General features: G+C 39.2%; 1 pseudogene, besides 2 other annotated features; it reads right to left on the bottom strand.

Annotated features, from left to right (window-relative positions):
* The window catches only part of LOC100422352 (transmembrane O-mannosyltransferase targeting cadherins 1 pseudogene), a 65535-nt pseudogene that overhangs the window by 2671 nt on the left and 37939 nt on the right, over positions 1 to 24925 (bottom strand).
* Positions 20336 to 20505: an enhancer, noted in NCBI's record as "experimental_28085 CRE fragment used in MPRA reporter constructs". NCBI's record gives its function as "activates a minimal promoter by MPRAs in K562 erythroleukemia cells, with activity observed for both the introgressed and non-introgressed 12:30650296 or rs77349035 variant alleles {active_cell/tissue: K562}" and the evidence as "EXISTENCE:reporter gene assay evidence [ECO:0000049][PMID:34662402]".
* Position 20420: a transcriptional cis regulatory region, noted in NCBI's record as "Neanderthal adaptively introgressed variant 12:30650296 (GRCh37/hg19 assembly coordinates) or rs77349035 in the experimental_28085 CRE". NCBI's record gives its function as "modulates activity of the experimental_28085 enhancer by MPRAs in K562 erythroleukemia cells {active_cell/tissue: K562}" and the evidence as "EXISTENCE:reporter gene assay evidence [ECO:0000049][PMID:34662402]".

Raw genomic sequence — 24925 nt, 5'->3', positions numbered from 1 at the left:
ATCTAATTCATTTGATAAGAAAGACCTTTAGGTGGTATGCAAAGCATTGTAGAGGGCTATTATGTATAGATGTGTGCATTTATGTGTGCATATATATTTGTGTTTTCACACAAAATTATGTCTGGAAGAAATCCTTTAATGGGAATTTTTAAAAAGAAAGATCTAAAATGCTCCTGGTAATTTTCCTCCTGGTGTTACAGTTAGCAGAGCTCCACTTCTGAAGTTTCCTAAGTCTTTATCAACATCACCTTGGGAATTATCGCAAGGACAAATACAGACTTAGGAAGCCAAGGTTGAAATTTGAATCCCTCAGGACATGTGATCTCTACCATAATTTGACTTGGATGCTATTCAGAGTCTGCTGAGGAATATAATTTTTTTTCAATATTTTAAATTTTCATTTCAAATGGAAGTTTGTAAGACTTTTTGTACTAAGTCTCTAGAATAACTGGCACTTAAGACAATCAGTGAATTTAAATACTTGGGGTCCTCCATTAATAACAAAGTCGCATGCTAGGAGTTCTGCTTCTAATGAAAAACTACACCTCTTGAAATCCCTTGAGGGGGTGACATATTTCCAGGAAATTCATCTTGTTGGGTAATTTTGTTTTGCATGGGACTATTAAAAGATGCCTAGACTTCAGGCGTAAGACTTCTTAGCTGTGCATTCTAGGATAATCCTACTTTTTCTTGGGGATCTTTTGGGGGTAATTAGTCACTGATTCAGGCTGACTGGTTTCTTATACCTTGAAAGTTTAAAATGTTTTTGTAGGAAGTCTTTGACATGGAGAAATTGATCAGTAATAATTTAATATTTTAAAATCAGCGTGAGTTATAATATACACACTATCAAATACACATTTTAAGTGCATAATTCAATGAGTTTTGATGTGCGTAAGTACCACTACAGTGAAGATATAGGACATGTCCATCATCCTAGAAAGTCTCCTCATTTACTGCGTACTAATTCTCTGCCAGGTACTTTGCTAAGTGATTTATTTGCATTGTTGCTTTTAATTTTCCTTAAATATTAGAAACAGGCTATTATGGGCTGAATTTTGTCCCCCACCCCCAAATTCATATGTTGAAGCCCTAACTCCCTAATAACTCAGAATGTGACTGTATTTGACAATAGGGCTTTAAGAAAGTAATTAAGTTAAAATGAGGCCATTAGGATAGGCCCTAATCCAATCTGACTGATGTCCTTATAATGAGAGGAAATTTAGAGGCACATAGATACCAGGGACATGCACACACACGGGAAAGACCATGAGAGGACGCAGTGAGAAAGCAGCCACCTATGAGCCAAGGAAAAAGGCCTCAGAAGAAACCAGACCTGCTGACACCTTGATCTTAGACTTCCAGCCTCTGGAACTGTGAGAAGATCCATTTCTGTGGTTTCCATCACCTACCCAGTCAGTGGTATTTTGTTATGGCAGCCCTAGCAGACTAAGACACAGGAATTAGCTTAGCTTTCCTTTTTAACAATAAAAAAACATAAAACGCGGTGTAGGAATGCCACAGAATTTGCCCACAGTCACCCAGTTAGCTAGGAACTTTGCTTAGGGTAGGGCAGTGGTTGGGTCCTTCATGTATCTGGCTCCGAGTCCGTGCTCTTAATCACGGCACATACTGACTCCTCAAGTACCCAAACACGCTAAATAGTCTGAAAACTTCTGGTAAAGGTGTTCAGTTGACATTAATAGAACTCTTAGGGGCTCTGGGTTAAATGCGATAAGCACCTTAGGGTAACGGTGGCTCCCGGATCAGCACCAACATCACGTTTTGCCATCCTGTATTTTCTTGTCCGTTCAATAACTGTCGGGTGGTAATCTATAATTCTCGATGATAGAGGTTCTCAAACTTTGTTACAGATTAGAATCACCTGGAGAGCTTTTAAAAATGTAACTAACTGGGAGGCTGAGGCAGGAGGATGGCTGGAGCCCAGAAGTTTGAGTCCAGCCTGGGCAACCTAGTGAGCCTCCCATCTCTAAAAAGAAAAATCAATATCTAAATGGCCCAGTCACACTCCATACCAATTAACAAGAGTGTCTGGGCATGAGAGCCAGGCATCGATCATTTTAAAGAGGTTCCTACATTATCTTATTGTGTAACAAAGTTTGGGAAGTGGTACCACTGGCTGGCTGACTTGCTGTATCTAACAAGACACTTTGAAAAGGGATTTGAGAAACACCAGTTACAGAATTAAACAGATTTAGCAAACCACTTGGTGGCAGTAAACTCCCTATTAACCACAATATGAGTCTACGCTATGGGTGGGCTTCTTAATTTCTATTCCTTTGTGGGAATCTTTTAAAATGTTTTCTTTACTTTTTGATCCCCAAACAATGTCAATTCTCAAATGAAAAAGGGTAAGTTTTCCTCCTTTTTTCTGCCAGACTAAATTATGCATAAAGACTAGACATTGCAATCTCTTATAAAAAATTGACTTTTGAGAGTTAAATTGTAAAAAGTCTGAATTAGAGAATCTTTTAGGAGCACGTATTTTTCTATGGCTGTATCATCCAGTCTGAATAAACACACATAGAGAAAAAAATTGAATTACATTTTGTGCACTCCTTTATATGTTCAAGATGTCACAATAACTTGGAAAAAACATCTACTATTCCATAGAAATATCTTTAAATGTTCTCCACAAAATTTGTCACGGTACTTTCTTCATCTTTTATCCATTTAAGGGAAGACGAAAATGCCTAAAAATGCAATTCAACAACAATTATAAGTAACTAGATCAGGTGTTCACATATTTGGAACTGAAAAATTTGAGCTTGGTCAATGAAAAACCTCAATAGGCTAGTTAATTATGATGTAAGTGGATTTAGTACTTATGCTGGTCCTGGTGAAAATGACAGTCGTATGAGTTTTTAAAACACTGAATTCCACACCAGGGTTTGTCACCAACGGCTGTGCAAGCCTGGGCAGGCTGCTTAAACTCCCTGAGCCTCAGTTCCGCATCTGAAAATGATTAGATAGTCAGAAAGAACCCCCCCGCCCCGGGCCTTTTTTCTTCCCTCTAGAATTTGGTAAAAAATGATATAAAGTGCCAAGTTTTCCAAGTGCATCCCTGGGAAATATAGTGGTGATACAACATCTAGTTTTGGGGGTTGGGAGGTGGTCTTCTGAATCGACTTTATGCACAAGCCATATATAAAAACTTTCTGGAGGATATAAATTCATATTACATGGTGGTGATAAAAGAAACTTTCTTCAATTCACAAATCAGAGAGGAAATCAGTTGTTCCCCCTCGTTTGGCTAATTAGTCTACAGTATCAGATTTGGGTCGTTGCAGCAACCCCATAAGGCAGCCTGGGAGACTCTCCCACATGGTGTGATTAGAAAAGCGTTGGTTGCCTTGGTGCATTTTACTCTCCCCTGCTGAAGACGGAAGAGTAAAATTATTCAAAAGTTCTGGCTCTGTATAGAGGAAGAAAAGAAATGGAGATTACTCACATAAGAGGCCTCACACAGGGTCTGGCAGAGAGTAGGTACTAGTAATTTTAGTTTCAACCCTCTTTGCATTTGGTCCTTTGAAATACCTTGTATTCATCAGCTCTTTGAGGCAATTGCTTCTGAACCCCAGCAGGCAGCTGCTTCCCACATTATGGGGATTCCTCTGCATATTTGGAGCCAGTTCCCTGTTAAGGGCAACTCAACTTAGGCAAGATGGGAATTTAGTCCCAAGTCTAAATCATTTCAATATTTATGCACATATTTTTGCCAAACCATTACCTGATTTGATGGAAAGCATAAAAAATAATGCTCTAAACATCAACAGAAAACATACAACTAAAATTATACTTGGTCAGGCGTGGTGGCTCATGCCTATAATCCTAGCAGTTTGGGAGGCTGAGGTAGGAGGATTACTTGAAGCCAGAAGGTCAGGACCAATCTGAGCAACATAATGAGACCTCATCTCTACAAAAAATTAAAATATTATCTGGGCGTGATAGTGTACACTTGTAGTTCCAGCTACTTGGATGCTGAGATGGGAAGATCACTTGAACTCAGGAGTTCAAGGCTGCAGTGAGCCATGATTGTGCCACTGCACTCCAGCCTGAGCAACAGATCACGACCCCATTTCTAAGATACACACACACACACACACACACACACACACACACACCAATTAATACTTGCTATGGTCTGAATGTTTGTGTTCATTCGTATGTTGAAATCCTAGCCCATAAGATGATGGTATTAGGAGACAGGTCCTTTAGGAGGTGATTAGATCACGAAAGCAGAGCTCTCATGAATAGGATTAGTGCCCTTACAAAAGAGGTCCAAGGGAGTGCATTTGCTGCTTCCACCAAGTGAGGACACGGCAAACTCAAAGTGCCATCTACGAGCCACAAAGCATGCACGCCTTCACCAGAAACCAGATCTGTCATGATCTTGCACTTCTCAACCTTCAGAACTGTGAGAAACACATTTCTGTTGTTTATAAGCCACCCAGTTGATGGCATTTTGTTATAATAGCACAAACAGACTAAGACAATGGGGAAAGACTAATATTGGGAACAAGACGAGGATGTCTATTCTTGTTACTTTAATTCATCATTGTACTAGAGGTCCTAGTCTGTACAATAAGGCAAAGAGCCAGGCACAGTGGCTTACGCCTATAATCCCAGCACTTTGGTAGGCCTAGGTGGGTGGATCACCTGAGGTCAGGAGTTCGCAGGCTGGCCAACAAGGTGAAACTCCGTCTCTACTAAAAATACAAAAATTAGCTGGGCGTGGTGGCAGGTGCCTGTAATCCCAGCTACTCGGAAGCCTGAGGCAGGAGAATCGCTTGAACCCAGGAGGCGGAGGTTGTAGTGAGCTGAGAATCGCGCCACTGCACTCCAGTCTGGACAACAGAGCAAGACTCTGTCACACACACACACACACACACACACACACACACACACACACTATATATATATATGTATACAGATTGAATAAGAAGTAAAATGATCTTTATTTATAGACGATATGATTACATATGTAGAAAATTCCAAGTGCTCACCAAAAAAATAATAAAATCTACTATAACTAGTAAGTCAATTTAGCAAAGTTGCTAGATAAAAGGCCAATATGCAAAGATTAATTGTTTTCCTATATACTAGCCATAGACAATTAAAAAAAACTGTAAAAGATACAATTTACAGTAGCACCACAAAAGCATGAAGATAATTTAGGAGACATTTTAACAAAGTATTTATAACACCTCTATGTTGAAACTATAAAACGTTCCCACAAGGAATTAAAGAAGAGCCAAAAAAATGGAGAGATAAACCATGTTCTTGAGTTAAAAAACTCAAGTTGTTAAGATGTCATTATGCCCAAATTAATGTATAAACTAAGTGAAATCCCAATCATAAATTTCAGGAGGGCTTTTGTAGAAATTGACAAATTGACTTTAAAATATAGAAGTATACAGAATAGCCAAAACATTTTGGAAGACTTAACTACCTAACTTTGACATTTAACATAAGGTTACAGTAATCAAGACAGTGTAGTCTTGTCATAAATGCAACATTTAGATGAATGAACATAATAGAGTCCAGAAATTGGCTGACACAAATACAGACAATTGATTTTGGACAAAGATGCAACGGCAATTCAATTGGGTAAGGATAATCTTTTCAACAAATTATGTTGAAGCAATTGGACATCAATATGTGGAAAATTAAAAAATTCAACTTAAACCTCATTCCTTAGACAAAAGTTAACTAAAAATGGACCATCGATCTAAACATAATTTTTTTTTTTTTTTGAGACGGAGTCTCACTCTCGCCCAGGCTGGAGTGCAGTGGCGCGATCTCGGCTCACTGCAAGCTCCACCTCCCAGGTTCACGCCATTCTCCTGCCTCAGCCTCCGAAGTAGCTGGGACTACAGGCGCCTGCTACCATGCCCACCTATTTTTTTTGTATTTTTAGTAGAGACGGCGTTTCACCGTGTTAACCAGGATGCCTCGATCTCCTGACCTCGTGATCCGCCCACCTCGGCCTCCCAAAGTGATGGGCTTACAGGCATGAGCCATCGCGCCTGGCCTAAACATAAAATTTAAAACTATAAAAGGTTTAGAAGAAAACATACAGAAAAATCTTCCCTATCTGGTGTTAGGCCAATAATTCTTTAAATGCGACATCCAAACTACAATTTATAAAAGAAAAATTTGAAAAACTGGACTTCACCAAAATTTAAACTGTTGTGCCTCAAAGGACACCATCAAGAAAGTAAAAAGGCAGCCCACAGAATATTTGTTGTGGGCGAAAATATTTGTAAATCATATATCTGATAAGGGACTTACATCCAGAATAAAGAACTCGTATACTGCAGTGATCGAAAGACAAATAAGCCACTTTAAAAGGAGCAAAGGATGTGAACAGATACTTCACTCAAAAAAGAAATATGGCTTGCCAATAATCACATGAAAAGATGCTCAATGTCATTACTCACTAGAGAAGTGCCAAGAGAAACTACAATGATCGACTACCTCATAGGCATTAGGACGGTAGCCCAAGCTATAATAAAAAAAAGATGGACAATAAACAAATATTGGAGAGGATGTGAGAAATTGGAACCCTCATTCAATAATAGGGAAAATGTAAAATGGTGCAGTCACTTTGGGAAACAGTTTGGTTAACTCCTCAAAAACTCAAAGTTACCATATGACCCAGCAATTCTATTCCTGGATATTTACCTGAGAGAAATGGAAATATATTGTCCCACAAAGCCTTTTTCCATGAATGTTGATAGCAGCATTGTTCATAGAAGCCAAAAAGTGGAAACAATCCCATGTCCATTAACAGATGAATGGATAAAAATGTGGTATATCCATGGAATGGACTATTGTTTTGCCGTAATAGGGAATGAAGTACTGATACACACTGTAACATGGATAAGCCTAGAAAATGTGCTGAGCATAAGAAGCCAGACACATATGGTATGATTCCATTTATATGACATGTTCAGAAAAGACCAAATCATAGAGACAGAAAGTAGATTAATGGAAGCCAGGGGGTGGAGGTAGGGGAGAATGGGAGCGAGTGTTAATGGGTACAGAGCTTCTTCTTCTTCTTTTTGTTTTTTTTGAGACGGAGTCTCCCTCTGTCACCCAGGCTGGAGTGCAATGGCGCGATCTCTGCTCACAGCAACCTCTGCCTCCCGGGTTCAAGTGATTCTCCTGCCCCAGCCTCCTGAGTAGCTGGGATTACAGGCACCTGCCACCATGCCTGGCCAATTTTTGTATTTTTAGTAGAGGCAGGGTTTCACCATGTTGGCCAGGCTGGTCTCAAACTCCTGACCTCAGGTGATCTGCCCACCTCAGCCTCCTAAAGTGCTGGGATTACTGGCATGAGCCACTGCACCCGGCTGGTACAGAGCTTCTTTTTGGGGTGATGAAAATGTTCTAGTGTGAGATCATGGGGATGGTTGCACAATTTTGTGAATGTACTAAAAACCACTAAATTGTACTTAAAAAAAAACCTAAAAATTGACAAGGATTACTCAGGCCTGTAATCCCAACACTTTGGGAGGCCGATGTGGCAAGATCTCTTGAACCCAGGGAGTTTGAGGTTATAGTGAGCTATGATTGTGCCACTGCACTCTAACCTGGGTAAAAGAGCAAGATCTTGTCTCTTAAAAATAAAAACCTATTAAAAACCCACCTATGCACAATTACACTGATATAGTTTGGATGTGTGCTCCAGCCCAAACTTCATGTTGCAATGTAATCCCCAATGTTGGAGGTAGGGCCTGGTGGGAGGTGTTTGGATCGTGGGGTTGGACTTCTCACGAGAAGTTTAGCACTATCCCTCTGGTGCTGTCTTCATGATAGTAAGTGAATTCTTGCGTGATTTGGTTGTTTAAAAGTGTGTGGCACCTTCTCTCTCTCTCTTGCTCTGGCTTTCGCCATGTGATGTGAAAGCTCCTGCTTCACTTTCTGCCATGATTGTAAACTCCCTGAGGCTTCCCTGGAAGCAGATACCAGTGTTATGCTTCCTGTACAGCCTGCAGAACCATAAGCCAATTAAAGCTTTTTTCTTATAAATTACCCAGTCTCAAGTGTTTTTTTATAGCAGTGCAAGAAGGGCCTAATTCAAACACCATGTAGCTTTCAAGGAGACGCACCTGTCTAAGGTAAACTTAGACATATTACAGTAAGTGCCCTTGGGGTGGAGGGGAAAAATAAAATAAGAACAACAGCAACAAAAACCCACAAAAAACTGTAAAAACAGAGAATACATCAGTGGTTGCTAGAGGGGGTAAGGGCTGGGCAGGATTTGACTACAAAAGAGCAGCATAAAGAAGTCTTTTGACCAGTGATGAAATTGTTCTGTATCCTGATTGTTGTGGTGGTTTCACAAATCTGTACATTTGTTAAAACTCACAGAATTGTACACCAAAAGTCATTTTTTAAAATGAATACAAAGTTTTTTTAAAAACAGTGTTCTGAGGCACCTATGTTTTTGTATTTATTATCTCTTAACCCTTTTCCATTTTTTCATAAAATTCCTGTCTTACTCTATGTGAGCAACCTCCCTTAGTTTGTTTTTTACTGCGGTAAGCTTTTATCAATTTGTTGGTTACTTCTCAGCCCATGTAAGGTGAGCTGCATAAATATTATTCAAGCTTTTGTAGGCAGAATTTCAGAGATAGATGGACCTTACATATTATTTACCTATTCACATATAAAGGTGTAGATTGCTTTGACATTAGAAGCTGCCTTAAAATGTTTTCAGCATTAGGCTTGAATATAGTCATTTGCCAGTAAAAACCCAAGGCCTGTGTTCAAAGGCAGAAGCTAATGATGTACAGGAGCTTCCATTCTGGGTTCATAATGTAACTGAACTCAGGTCCAGGCCCCTCATTGCTTCAAAGCCAAAATTTAAGGGACAAGCTTTTGGCAAAAATGAAAGTTAGCTTTATTTGCAAAGCCAACAACCTGGGGGGAAAGAGTGAACTTGTGTTCAAAGATCACCTCTCTGAGTTGTGCCTCCAGATCAGGAGGTTTTTAAGGCAAATTAGTGGGGTGCAAATGATGATCAAAGCATTCTTGTGAAATGTACATACTCTCAGGCAGGCAGTTAAATTATTACTTTCCTGGTCAATGTCCTGTGGCCTTCTGCAGGTGCTGTCAAGCTGTTCTTATCAGGCTGGTCAGCCATTCCCAGAGTCATTGGTCAGCGTATTTTCTTTTATCTCTGTTGAAGGTCCTGTTTTCCTGAGGCTGTTTTTAATGAATAATCTACAAACTCAAGGAAAACAATAATTATACTCAAGCAAACAAGCTTTTAACATGGAATCAGTACTGTTACAGTAATGCTTGCTGTCTGATGTTGACCATGACCATTATGGGTGGTATTACCACTTGCGTCAGGCTCTGTTTGCCGTGTATAATTTTAAGTGTCTTTTTTCAGAACATTGACTGTATTTGTAATTTCTGCCATACGTCAGTGGTGATCATCTTATTTTGGTTCTTCCTCTAATGTTGTAATATTGAAAAAATTGATATTTGCTCTTCATCCTGTTTCTTGACATATGTTCAAGTCAAAATAAAAATGTAGAGATGAATAGGGAATTCAAATTTAATGTTTTATTTGGGAAGGAAGAATTGTGATTTGGGGTATACATGCAGACTGGGTGGTCTTCAGTATGTCCGAAGAACAAAGAGGAGGATGGAGGTTTTACAAAAAGGAAAAATGTTATGTGTTACTCTTTGAGAATGTTCATTGGCCTAGTAAGGTTCTGGGGAGCTGGCAAGTATTAACTGGCGAGTGATGGTGGTGGGTAAAATTTGCCTTAGAATTGTAGGGGGTCATTTCAGCAGCTATAGATCAAACTGGTTCCAGGTTATAATAGGCAGTTTCAGTGGCTGGACTTGAGAGAATCGCATTTTTGGAGCAATGTTACATGCCTCCAGTATGGGGGCTGGGCACTGGAAAGATCAAGGTAGGGTTAGAGAGCTCGGACTTTCAGCTCCAACCCCCAGCCTCCTGGGAGGGGAGAGGAAAGGGGCTGAAGGTTGAGTTGATCACCAAGGGCCAGTAGTTTAATCAATGATGCTTACATAATGAAGTCTCCATAAAAACCCAAAAGGACAGGGTTTGAAGAGCTTCCAAATAGCTGAACGCATGGAGGTTCCTGGAGGGTGGTGTGCACTGGGAGGGCATCGAACCACTGCACCCCTGCCCATACCTTGCCCCACGCATCTCTTCATCTGTATCCTTTATAATATTTTTTATAATACCCTTTATAATAGACCAGTAAACATGGACCCTGACTTCTGTGAGCTGCTCTAGCAAAGTAATCAAATCCAAGGAGGGGGCTGTGGGATCTCTGATTTATAGCCGGTCAGTCAGGGCATGGGTAAAACAACCTGGGACTTCAGATAGGCGTCGGAAGTCAGGGGCAGCCTTGTGGGACTGAGCCCTCAACCTGCAGTGTCTGACACTATCTCCAGGTAGATAGTGTTGGAATTGGATTGGAGAATGCCCAACTGGTGTCTGCTGAAGAATTGATTGCTTGCCTCTTGGTGGGGACCCCCTCATCCAGTATTTGGTTACAAAAGTCTTCTGTGTAGATTGTTGTGGTGTGAAAGCAAAGGAAAAACAGTTTGTGTTTTCCACTCACAAATGTTCTTTGTGAGGCAGGGAATACGCAAGGGTTTCACCATAGCAGCTCTCTATCTGAAACCCTTGCTAGAGATGACATCACATACATTTCTCTGGGAATATATGTTTCTTCTGTGCCTGTGTAAAATTTAACATCAGAATAAATCTAACTGTGCCAATATCATAAAAAAGAGGATTGTTTATTTCAGTTGTAACATTGAGCTTTCATTTTGATTTCAACTGACTTTGTATTTCACTTTCAGTTTTTGATGACTATCTACGCACAGGCTATTTATAAGTATTTATAAATACTCCTAATTAAAGTATTGTAGGACTTTCTCTTCAGTTCAGCTAAAAACCAGGTTCTTGTCACACGACCAGGAAAGGTTAGGCTTGTGGACACCTAGAAGGGTGAGAAAAATGGAAATTATTGGGTGAAAAGGAAAAAGACTCTCCACAAAGCAAGAGGGGTTCCTGTTAACAGATCCCCATCTCACATATTGAATCCCAGGTCACCGCCCAGGAACAGGAGAGGCCAGGCTCCTCCCGGCTGCAAATGGTGTGAACTTCTCGAGGCCCTGCCCCATCCTCCCAGTGCACAGGCTGGTAGAAGGTTCTCTGGGGAGACCTTTTTACTTGGCTGTCTCGAAAACATAGAAATATCATACATTTTCGACACGCACATATGAATCACACAATAATCATGGTAGTTAATATTAGATTTAGATAATGAAAACATCCTTTTATGTACTTCCTTTGTCTTTTTTTTTCTTCTTCAGTTTTCTATTTTTCAACTAACATGTTGCTTTGTGTTTCATTGAAGATGTACTTTCTGATTTCCACATAGAGCTGCAAATGTCCAGTTCACATCACAACACCAAGGAGAAGCAGCTCCTTGTTTTTCCTTTCGCCACTTCACCCTCAGGTCCACCCTCAGCAGCCAGCTCTCTGGGATAGTCCTGATCTTCTCCCAGCACAATCAGTTAAAAATCCCATTGTAAATCCTGCTGTTGGGTAAATGGAAGTCAGTGCGTCAGAATGGCAATAAGCACTTACCAGAATGAATTGTATGCAAAAAAAATCTGATGCCTTTTCTGTAGGACTGTCTAAAAAAGAGGAAAATGGTTTAAATACTCATTTTATGCACTACTAGATATGTTTCTGAAAAACTGTGTGTGAATGGAAAACTTTGAACCTATTTCAAGTGCATAAGGGTACCTGACTACATAAATAAAACCTCTGGAGAATTCTTTTCAAAATGGTAGAATTAATCTCTATTTAGTCACTTTCTTAGTTTGGAATTTTATATGGTAGAACCCTCTGCATGCTAGAATGTGGTGAATTGTTTTTTTTCTAGCTTTAATTTTTGACAACCCTTTGAGAAGCCAGGAGAAATTAATCTAGATGTTGAGGACAGAGAGTCCATTTCAGGCTTTCTCATTTTTTGGCATCTTATATGGGGCAAATCCTTGTGAAGAGGGTTCAGGGTGAAGAGGGCTAATTAGGCCTCATGATTAGGGGAGGAAGGAACCACAGGATAGAGCCTGCGGGACGGAGCTTGTCAGGGAGGGCTTGGAAGTGCAGAGGTGACCTTGGATGGTGCAGACCAGTGATCTTAAAAACATTTCAGCTATGGAACCCATTCTTCAAAGAAGTCGTACTCAGAAGTCTGATACATTAAACATGTAAAAGCCAAGCTGCTCTGCCTGAAGCGATGTGGGGAGCCTGGAGTCCTGCTGAGGAAGGGTATTTTGACCATGCTGTTTAATGCGTGTCACTGATTAGAGGGTAAAGCAACTGCTACATAAGTCTGTCTCTTCTATGCACCAGCTGTGTGACTTGGGTCAGCTGCATCACCTCTGTGAGCCTCAGGGCCCTAATCTGTGAAATGAAGGTTAAGCACTACCTCTCTAGTTTCATGTAAGGGCTTAAGAAACTAACACGGCACTGTGCTTGACACAGGTTGTCTGTACATGATAATTTGACAAATGTTAAAACCATTGCTCCTTCCCACCAACCCATCAGCTTCCTACCTGACCTAAAATTTCCATCCAAAAAAAAATCACTAACAGATTTCACAACAAAGGCAGGGGGACTTGTCTCCAGAAGGAACCATTAACATGGAAATATTGCCTCTGAAGAGAAAAGTTTCTGTTGTTTCTTCTCTGGGCTTCTTTAGTTGACATTCGGGTTTAAGAGTTGATATTGTTAGAGCCATAATCACAAGCACAGGTTCTTAGAACTGTGATAAAAGAGCACCGAGTCAACAAGTTTTACATGTATGAAAACTGAGTGTTCAAGAGGTTATTGCGTACCCAAGGCCAAGCAATCACAGTGGAAGGACATGGATTATTCACATTTCTAAGTTCTGATTTAGATTCATTTTACTATTAGGTTGGTGCAAACATAACTGCAGTTTTTGCCACTAAAAGTAATCACTTTTATACCAACCTAATATAAGAAGCTGTTTTTAGAAACTGGAAGCAAGAATTCACTGAAAAGAGGCACAAGGAAAATTTCTGAGCTGATGGAAATGTTCTTTATCTTGATGGGGATGTAGTTTCCATGGTTTTGATGCATTTCTCAAAATTCATTGAACTGTACATTTAAGATCTATGCAATTTACTATAAAAAATTATGTCTCCATTTAAAAATGAGTAAGTGTTATGTATCCCCCCAAATTCATGTGTTTAAATCTTAATTCTCAGTACCTCAGAAAGTGACCTTACTTGGATGTAGGGTTTTCACAGAGGTAATCAAAATAAAATGAGGTCATTAGAGTGGGTCTTAATTCAATAAGCCTGCTGCCTTTATAAGAAGGGAATATTTGGACACAGAGGCTTATGAAGAGATGACAGCCATCCACAACCCATGAGAGGGGTCTGAAACACGTTTCTCTCCCAGCCCTCAAAAAAGAACCAATCCTGCCAACACCAAGATGTTGGCAGATATACCTTAAATAAAGGTATTTTATATAAGGTGTATCTCTTATAAGGAACATAATATTTATTTTTTTTCCTTTCAGACAAGATCAGTTGTGTTCAGGGTGGTATGGCCATAGATGGTTTCTTCTTTTCAATTCAGACTAATAATCTTAATTTTTAAATTGAAGCATTCAGTCTATTTGTATTTAATGCAACTCCTGACATATTTCAATGTATTTACTTTTTTCTTAATTAACCAGGCCAGTTTTGTGTTCTTTTTTGCTGTTTGGTATTTATATTATTTTGATTTTATAAATGAGCAATCCTTGACTTTGAGAGGTAATACAAATTAACTAAGTTCGTATCCTGGTAAATAGCAGAGTTCCTGAGGAAAGAAAACAGAAAACTGGCCAACAGGACAGTGTGGTAGAGGAGAAAGAGCTCTGGGATTAGAATCCAAAATACCAGCTCCCCACTGAACTGCTGTGTGACTTTCTCCAGTCTACTTCCTTTTCTGAAAGTTAAGAGTGATGATACATATCCTACCAACCACTCTGAGTGGTTCAGTTCACATGAGAAGTGAAAGTGCTTTGTGAATTGGTTTTCCACAGGACTGGGCCCTGTTTGAGGGGTGGAAACAGGAGGTTGGTAGAGAGACCTGCCCAAGGTGACTGAAGAAAGGATGGGGAGTCATCACGTGAGGACAGGGATTTGAGGGCAGGCAGCTCCCGCACAGCAGGCGGGCTCCAGAGGCAACTCATGGAGTGTTGCACTTCTTTGTTTATTTATTTTTTCCTTATTGCTATTAATCTAAAATTGTTCACGTTTCTCTTTCAGAACACTTTTAGATTGGAAAGATTTTGATCATCTCAAAAGTCTTGGATATAAAAATTCAGTCTGTGTGGCAGGGAACAGCTCACTCCTGACTGGTTGAAGATAGGAGGTTGAAGAAATAAATGAACTTGAAGCAGACTTGAAGTTTCATGCCTGAGATCCTAAAGTAAGATAATGTTTGTAAGGCTGATTGCTAATCAAGATGCCTTATTTCTCAGATTTTTTTAATCTGAATTATTCCTTCCTCAACCAACATCCCGATTTAGGAGCTGTTATAAGTCATCACTCAAGATAAGGATTTAAAAGGACTGGATTGCAAATGCAGCCAGCAAAGCTTAGAAGCCTAAAGGGGTGGGAAAATGAACTCCCCAATATGGGAAATAAATGGCAGTTCTGATGATTGGCAAAGCGGTCTGGCTTCTTCCAGAAATATTTATAAAGGCATAAATTAATGGCATTCCAGTTTCTCAAGGAGAATGAAAATAAAAATCCCCAAACATTCTAATTTCTCTAAGAGAATATAAACATAAAAGCAAGAGGGTCCTAACAGTGTCGCTCGTATCCACAGTGCTTCTGTGCAGAACCGTCTTCTCTGCACAGTTTCCTGCAGCCATCATGGCAAAAAATAGAATGATGGGAAAGATATTCCCTTCCAAATCAGGAGATTCCATGCTATGGGTTTCTTAACAACCTTCTCAGGTTAAGAACTTCAACAGAAATTGTAAGTTGAATAGATGATCTGGCGAGGAGGGGGATAGAGAGTCACTTGCAATGTCATTTCAATAATTAACAATCCGTTTATATACAAATAACTCCCAAATGTTGAGAAAGTGGGAAAGTACTTTCACCACCATTTTATAGATAACTCAGTTTTATATAAAAAGCTAAGCATAAACATATTCTAAATGAACTGAAAAAGTCCTGAATAAAAACACGTTCTACATGAAGTGAAAGAATTCTCATTCTCACCTTATACAAAGCATTTAAATGAATTTCTTTGGAACAATTCCGTTTGATAAGTTTCTAATATGTAAGGTTACTTATTTTCTCCTGAGAACAAATACAAGATTTCTGGGTCAGAGACACGCTGATTGTTTACTTATAGGATATCTTGGTGTTGGTTTTCCAGTCCCCCGTTTCCCCTTTGGGTGATTCTATGGGAGCAGATGTCACCCTGGATGTACAGAGGTGTAGAAGGAGAATACAATATGGAAGAACTCCCAAATTGTGAATGCAAGTGCTTATATAGGAACTGCTGGTTCCTATACAACCTATTCAAATGTTGGTTCAGGTGCTCCCTCCTTTTTAGGGGGAAGGAGGGAAACCTTATGTTTTTAATGCAAAGAAATCCTCTGTTGGAAAAAAAGCAAAAGGTCCTAGATGTTATAGCTCTTTAAAATATAAATGTTAGGCTCAGGAATTTATTACCATTTGAACTGTAAATAAAGAAACCCAGAGGCAAATAAACCTGTAAATCTCTCAGGAGTAATTCACTGTCTCCAACTTCCAAGGCGTGGCTGTTGATCAACTTGTTGTTAACCCAAGTTGCTGGTAGTTTTTGCTCAGGAAGCCATGACTCTGCGGAACACAAAAAATACTGGTTATTTCTTAACACCATAAAATGTATTTTGGTAGCATTGTATTTCCCATGCATGGACAAGTAATTATTTTATCTGGAGGCTGCACAGCATAAGAGTGTAGAAGATAATGGTGAAAAGTAACTGGATTATGAAAAGTCCTGAATGCTAAAAAGTTTGGACAATATATGTGTAGACAATGGGTAATCAATGAATATCTCTGACCTCCTAAATTTAGAGGAGGAGTGTTATCAGATACAGAAGGAACAAACTACGTGACCACATCAGCACAGAATAAGAGACTTTCAAAAAAGTGAGGGTCAGAGTCCGTAGGAGTAAAAAAGTAGGAGAATAGGAGGAATGGGAATGGCAAGAGATTCAACAGTGTCAAACCCTTCATTTTTGAGGAAAACAAGAGGGCTGAAGCCCAAGAGAAGGCCCTTAGGAATTCACTTTAGATGAACTCTGTATTCTCTCTCTCTTTTTTTTTTTCTTTTTTTATGAGACAGAGTCTCGCGCCATCTCTCAGGCTGGAGTGCAGTGGCTCCATCTCGGCTCACTGCAACCTCTGCCTTCCAGGTTCAAGTGATTCTCCTGCCTCAGCCTCTGGAGTTGCTGGGACTACAGGCCCCCGCTATCACGCCTGGCTAATTTTTGTATTTTTAGTAGAGACAGGGTTTCGCCATGTTGGCCAGGCTGGTCTCGAACGCCTGGCCTCAGGTGATCCACCCGCCTCGGCCTCCTAAAGTGCTGGGATTACAGGTGTGAGCCACCATGCCCAACCGAACTCTTTATTCTTAGTAAAAGTTCTGAATGACGTCATCTGCTGCTGAGTGTGTATGGGGCATAGAGAAAGGTAGCAAAGGGGCACGATGAGGAAAGAAAGTATTTATTCACAGAAGAAAAATTTTAATTTTTTCATCATGTTTTCCTTAAAGTTTTCTAAGTGTTGCCATTTATCTCAAGTTTGTCATATTCTTGAAACCGTGGAGCCCTACGTGAAGGCCTAGCAAAAGCTGAAAGCAGGCAGTGGGGTTACCTAGGGTTGGGGCCTGGTCAAACAGTTACAAGAAGAATCAGCATGTGAAAAAGTCTAGGGTGACACTACACACATTAATGAGATGGCCGAGTGTGGTTAAAGATGGCTTAGGGATTGTGAAGAAAGTGAGAAGCAGAGAGACCAGAAACCCTAACAATAGTAACAACCAGGGCCAGCATGAACGAGGGAGTGGAAGTGGAGAAACCCTGCCATTTAAAGTCAAGGAGTGGAATGCAGGGTTAAGGTCTGAGAAGAGGGTGGTGAGTACAGAGAAGAGTTGAGCAGCTTCAGTTCTTGATCATAATCCCTCCAAAGATCAAGGTCAGCAAGAGTGAGAGGGTGGAAGAATAGGAAAAATGGTAAAGGAAAGAGGTTCAGGTAAAAGGGGCACATTTCAAGCTTTGGGTATTAGAAGAAGTCTCAGTGATGAAGAGGTCGATGGTATAACCATGCTGGGGAGGAGGCATTAAGGCCCTGGATTTATGGAGGCACAGGAATCAGGAAAGGGATGAGTATGTGTTGGGCACATTTAAAGCTGAGTGGGATATAATGGACAGGGAGTACAATGAGAGAAAGGAAGGCTGGAGATATGCTGGAGATGAGTGGGTCTTTGGGGCACAGTTACATTTTACTCTAAGATGAGGATGTAGAACTTGTCATTCTCAGAGTTCTAACTGGAGTGCTGGCATGACAACATGATGCAGTGGCTCTCTGAAAAGCTTTTCCTTAACTTACTGGGCTTGGCACTATGGATTCTGTGGAGCTTCAGTTAGAAAGTAGGAAAGGTTTGAACTGCAGTCCTGATATGATAAAAGTGAAATGAAAGTTGGTACAGCTGGTATATTTCAAAAATAATTGTATTTCAAAAATAATTGCTTGAAATTATTTTTCAGGATGTGAAAAAGTCTAGGGTGACACTACACACATTAACGAGATGGCCAAGTGTGGTTAAAGATGGCTTAGGGGTTGTGAAGAAAGAGAGAAGCAGAGAGACCAGAAACCCTAACAGCAGTAACAACCAGGGCCAGCATGGGATATATTTGAATGTATTTCAAAAATAATTGCTACTAAAAATTATTACATTTCTTATTGTTCCTTAATTTCTTAAAATTTAATTTTCTAAAGAATCAGAGTAAAACACATTCAATATGTGCTATTATCAAAATAATATTGCACATATTTTAATGAGTATTGCTTGTAAAGCTTATTCTAACAATATTTATAATATCACTGAGGATAGTATCAAGGAAGGGGAGGTATGGCATATATGAGAAGTTGTTTTTATCTTTAGTTTCAGTAGTACACATCAACAAATATTTCACCCAAGACCAAATCTAAATATTCTATTGTAATATTCTGATCCTTTAGAGACTTATGCTCATCCATACAAAGTTCATGCTAATCTTGCTTACTTTCAGAAACCATAATATTTTTACACTTTTGTCTCCAAGCAAAATCAGCGGTAATTAATGTAAATTGAGGATGCCATTGTGGAGAGCTGTTTCTTACCAGTCTCTCACACTGTAACTGTCCTGCATAGAATCTTAATGGATTCACTTCAAGTTTCCGTGAAAGGGTCATGAGAGAAGCTTAATGTGTTTGTGTCATATCAGGATCAGTGTGGTCTGTTGCTACAAAAAGGCCCAAAGCTGGCCAGGCTTATAGTTTCAAGGCTCCAAATAAAATTTATTCTCAGTGATCTCAGATGTTCCTGTGGGAATGGCATGTTCTGGTAGAACCATGTCTTTAGAGTTTTTAGGCTGGACAAAGCCGCACATTTCTGTCGTAGCCTAGATCATTAATAAAGAACTCTTGGCAGTATCCCAGCTCTGAGGTAGGCATGGGGAGTAGAGGCAGTAGAATGTGATGCTTGTGTTTATGATTTGACGCTGGGCTTTGGAAACTTGCTCATCTCTCTATCTTACTTACTTTATATTCTTATTGTCTTAGTCTGTTTCAGCTGCTATAACAGGGCACCACAAACAGAGTAGCTTGTAAAGAAGAGAAGTTTATATCTTACAGTTCTGGAAGCTGGGAAGTCCAAGATCAAGGCAGGTCAGTGTCTGGTGAGGGCCTGCCTTCTGGCTTATAGATAGTGTCGCCTTGCTGTGACCTCACATGGTGGAAGGGATAAGGCCTCTTTTATAAGGACACTAATCCTATTCATGTGGGCTCTGCCCTTGTGACCTAATCACCTCCCACAGGCCCCACTCCTAATATCATCATCTTGGCAGTTGGAATATGTATTTTGGGGGAAGACACAAAAATCACACCATGACACTTACATTAATTCTTAGTTTCTTTTTTACTTTTTTTTTTTTTTTTTTTTGAGATGGAGTCTCACTTTGTTGTCCAGGCTGGAGTGCAGTGGCGTGACCTTGGCTCACTGCAAGCTCCGCCTCCTGGGTTCATGCCATTCTCTTGCCTCAGCCTCCCAAGTAGCTGGGACTACAGGTGCCAGCCACCACACCCAGCTAATTTTTTGAATTTTTTTTTTAGTAGAGATGGGGTTTCACCGTGTTAGCCAGGATGAGTCTCGATCTCCTGACCTTGTGATCCCCCGCCTCAGCCTCCTAAAGTGCTGGGATTACAGGCATGAGCCACTGCGCTCAGCCTAGTTTCTTATATTCGTAATATAAGAATACTGATAGTACTTACAAGAATGCTCTAGTCTAGTCTAATCTCATCATATCTAATGAGCAAACCTGGGTTTTAGAATAAATATTACATTCCAGGATTACAGGATTTTTTAAAAGGTAAAATCATGATTGTCATGCAAATATAAACTAAACATATATTAAAGATTTCATTTAACCCATTAATGAGAGAAACAGTACAATATTGTAATTATGAAAAAGGAGAATTCAGAGGAATGCTGAGATGAATTTCCAAATAGAAATAAAACTGGTCAATATTTACAGGGCAATAATCAATTGCATTCTTCTGAAAACAATCTACATTGCTGTAGACAAGAATCATTTGTATTACATCAATTCTCTACAAGTCTTTCATAACTTTTCAGATATAAATTATATAAAGGACAATGGTTTTTAAAGATACAAATTTAGACTGGGCGCGGTGGCTCACGCCTGTAGTCCCAGCACTTTGGGAGGCCAAGGTGGGTGGATCACCTGAGGTCAGGAGTTCAAGACCAGCCTGGCCAACATGGCAAAACCCTGTCTCTACTAAAAACACAACATTTAGCTGGGCATGGTGGCGCATGCCTGTAATCCCAGCTACTAGGAGGGCTGAGGCAGGAGGATCACTTGAACATGGGAGGCGGAGGTTGCAGTGACCTGAGATCATGCCACTGCACTCCAGCCTGGGCAACAGAGTGAGACTCCATCCCCTCCCCTGCCAAAAAAAGATGCAAATTTAAAAAAGTTAGCTGCCCACTGAGAAATAAACAAAATTGATTATTAAATAAGTAATATTATTATTATTATTAAATAAGTAATACCATTAATTAAGTGAAAATCATGTTGAAAATGTCTCTCTTTCTGCCTTTGGCTCATTGCTGTACTTTAACAGCAGATATATCTTAAGGAAGAGTACTAAAGCTCAGAGTCATCTAAATGTGATGATCTCTGCTGTTTTCTAGGTCACCTCTCTCTGTTACTGAGGGATGCTGGCTTAGGAAATGTGCACTAACTTTATTGTCTCCATAAGAAATATATACAATAATGCATCAATTAATGATAAGCACCAAGAAATGCAGCTTAGGCAATTTCATTTTTGTGCAAACATCATAGACTGTACTTACACAAACCTAGATAGTATAGGCTACTCCACACCTAGGATATATGGTAGAGCCTATCGCTCCTAGGCTACAAACTTGTACAGCATGTTACTGTACTGAATACTACAGGCTGTTGTAACACACTGGTAAATATTTCTAAATCTAAACATAGAAAAGTTACAGTAAAAATTCAGTATAAAAAATAAAATATGATATGCCTATATAGGGCACTTACCATGAATGGAGCTTGCAGGACTGGAAGTTGCTCTGGTGAGTGAGTGAGTGGTGAATGAATGTGAAGGCCTAGAATGCTGTTGTACACTACTGTAGGCTTTATAAACACTGTACACTTTGGCTACACTAAATTTATATAAAAAATTTCTTCTTCAATAATAAATTAACCTTAGTTTACTGTAACTTTTTGACTTTGTAAACTTGGAATTTTTAAAACTTTTTGACTCTAGCAATGGAACTTAGCTTAAAACACAAACACACTGTATAGTTATACAAAAATATTTTTCTTTCTTTATATCCCTATTCTAAAAGTTTTTCTGTATTTAAAATTTTGTATTACTCTTTCAACTTTTTTATAAAAACTAAGACAAAAGCACACATTAGCCTAGGCCTACACAGAATTGGGATCATCAATATCATTGTCTTTCACCTCCATACTTTATCCCACTGGAAGGTTTAGGGGCAATAACACACATGGAGCTGTCATCTTCTATGACAACAATGCCTTCTGAAATACCTCGTGCAGGACCTGCCTGAAGCTGTTTTACATTTTTTTTATAAGTAGAAGGTGTGCACTAAAATATTGATAACTATTATAAAATGGTAAATATATAACTATGTAACAGACATTTATTATCAAGTCTTATGTACTATACATAGTTGTATGTGCTAGACATTTATATGACTGACAGCGCAGTAGGTTTGTTTACACCAGCATCACCACAAACACGTGAGTAACGCCTTGCACTATGCCCACATAAGGATAGCTATGATATCACTAAGCAATAGTAATTTTTCAGCTCCATTATAATCCTATGGGACCACTGTTGTACATGTGGTCTGTGGTTGATGGAGAGGTTGTTATTGGGGCATGACTGTAGTTAGGAAGATGCTTTTTCCCAAAGAGACAAAAAGACATCATCATAAAATTAAATATAAATTTCTGCATTTGAGAGTTACTTGAGCAGCTTAGAGACAAGCAACTAGGATTCAAAGACCCGAGTCTTCTACAGCCAAGGCCAAAGTCATTTGATATTGTCAAATCTCAGTTGTTTTATTTAAATGGGAATGGTCACAATAATACTAACCTCAAAATGTTGTTAGAAAGATGAATTAAATAATTTATGTGGAAGAACCCTATAAACTGGAAAGTTTTATTCACATGGTAGCTGTCATTACTATTTTAATCTACTAGATTGAGTTACACTGTCTGTACCACAGAGAAACAGGCACTCTGCATGTGGAGGAGCAGATGGTAAAGTGGGGCGGTAACCCCACCTCTGAAAGTAATTTGCTATGTGACCCTGGACAAGTCATTGAACCTTCAAGGCTTTCATTGCCTCTTTGTCCCTTTTTATTTAGCGGACGAATTGTGAGTTTCTACTGAAGTAATAACTGCCACTCAGAAATCTACAAAGTACTCTACAAGTGTAAAACATTGTCATTAGTGTCAACAATGTGTTACATTTGATTTTACCAAAATGGAATTAGATTTTTTTATTTATTGGTTATGTATAAATATAAAATATTTTTCTTTATTTAATTCATACATACCAATTAAAAATAATATGTGACTCAAAAGGAAAGTCCCCAGTATCATTCTCTTGCTCAGGATTTGGCTAATGAAATATGAGAGAATCTCTGCTATCATTTTCATTTGGAGTCAAAATTTTCATAATGTTAAAACCACAGCTGAAGGAAATCTCCCATTAAAGTGAAATGGCATTTGTAGCTAGGTCATTAAGGGTGGTTTCTTTAGAAAGGATTGTCTAAAAAAAAAAAAAAAAAAGACATTCACGTGAGTCCTGAAATAGGATTTTAATGATGCTACATGGCCCAGGAAGCCAAAAAGTAATTTAAAGGAATTTTTCCAGCTTTTTTGTGTTCTGATCCCAAAGTAGTACATATGAGATATAGCAATGATTTTAAAAAATGTGCCCATAAAAACTTAAAAATAGTAGAGTAAAATAATAAGCATCATATGTTTCTAAAAACTAATATATCAATAACTAGTACTCATATTCCCCAATTCCTTGATTATTTATTTTATTTTATTTTTTCTGAGACAGAGCCTTGCTCTGTCGCCCAGGCTGGGGTGCAGTGGCGTGTTCTGGGCTCATTGCAAGCTCTGCCTCCTGGGTTCACGCCGTTGTCCTGCCTCAGCCTCCCAAGTAGCTGGGACTACAGGCGCCCGCCACCATGCCCGGCTAATTTTTTGTATTTTTAGTAGAGACAGGGTTTCACCGTGTTAGCCACGATGGTCTCGATCTCCTGACCTTGTGATCCGCCTGCCTCGGCCTCCCGAAGTGCTGGGATTACAGGCGTGAGCCACAATGCCCGACCTCCTTGATTACTTTTTATTTTCTTAGGGAATTTCCTGGTGCAAAAATGGTACAGCTTTCAAAGCATTCACTCCTTGATTGAATTTCACCATTTTTAGTTTATACCAAATTATAGCAATAGATTATATGATTTTCAAACTTATTTAGCTTGTACTGTTATTAGGAATTCTAGAGTAATTATTGAGATGTGACATAAACACTTATACATAAAAAGGCAAACCCAGCTTTATCACCACATTCAAAACAGTTTACTAAATTTTGAGTTAAAAAACTTTTAGCTTATTTTTGAAGACAAGTTTAATGGTAATTCTAGCTTTTCATCTTTGCTGATAAAATGGGGTGTTACACTAGCATGACGTGGGATAACCAAACTTCTGACGAGTCATTTGCAACAACATGGATGGAACTGGAGGTCATTATGTTAAGTGAAATAATCATGGCACAGAAAGACAAACTTTGCATGTTCTCACTTGTTTGTGGAAGCTCAAAATTAAAACATTTGAACTCATGGAGATAGCGAGTAGAAAGACGGTTACCAGAGGCTGAGAAGGGTAGTGGGTAGGGTAGGGGGAAAGTGGGATGGTTAATGGGTACAAAAAAATAGAAAGAATGAATAAGACCTTAGTATTTGTTAGCACAACAGGGTGACAATTGTCAATAATAATTTAATTGTACATTTTAAAATAACTGAAATAATATAATTGAATTGTTTATAACACAAAGGATAAATGCCTGAGAGGATGGATACCCCACTTACCATGATGTAATTATTATGCATTATATGCCTATATCAAAGTATCTCATATACTCCATATGTACCTACTATGTACCTATATATATGAAAAATAAAAAATCAAAAAAAGAAACATTGTAGGCACTTTAAGATGTACAGAAATGAACACATGGACATATATTTATCTTGTCCTTTTGAAACTTCTAAACATGGAAACCATTTCAGTATGAGTGTTAATACCCTGACAAGTAGAAATAAACATACCACTATTTTCCCTTATTCCAATCATCTAAACCTTTGTTTTGCCATTTATATTGACTTCCACATGACTATTACGTTCAGAAGTTCAACCTTTATTTCCACCCCTACTCACCCACTACCACTTCCATCGTGGCCATTGCCACCATTACCAACATGCCTAACAGAAATACCGAGATACAACACACAGAACTCCACTTGTCCCAGTCTTCAGTAATCCTGCATGTGTTACCAATTCTTAAGTGAGTAGTGAGTGAAAGAGCAAAACCCGTTGATTGTCTACAAGTTATTCATAAGAGCAAAAGTTACCACTACTAATTGCAGTTGAATCTCACACCCTCTGTCCCTTTTTAGTACAAATTGTAGTCAGAAATTGCAGTAATGCTATTTTGGTTATAACACTTCAAGGCATTGCCCCCCTCATGTGTTTTCTAGACCAATGCTTTCCCAAAAGTATATTCATGGAATGCTTTATCCTGGGAAAGCTCTACCGGAAAATTTTCTTGGAAAATTCTTTTGTTTTTGTTTTTAGAGACAGGGTCTTGTTCTGTTGCCCAGGCTGGAGTGCAGTGGTGGAATCATACCTCTCTGCAGGCTTGAACTTCTGGAGTCAAGTAATCATCC

Source organism: Homo sapiens, chromosome 12 (assembly GCF_000001405.40).
Source record: "Homo sapiens chromosome 12, GRCh38.p14 Primary Assembly".
NCBI lineage: Eukaryota > Metazoa > Chordata > Mammalia > Primates > Hominidae > Homo > Homo sapiens.
Note: the sequence above shows the minus strand (reverse complement) of the source record. Positions and strands in the feature narration are given on the sequence as shown.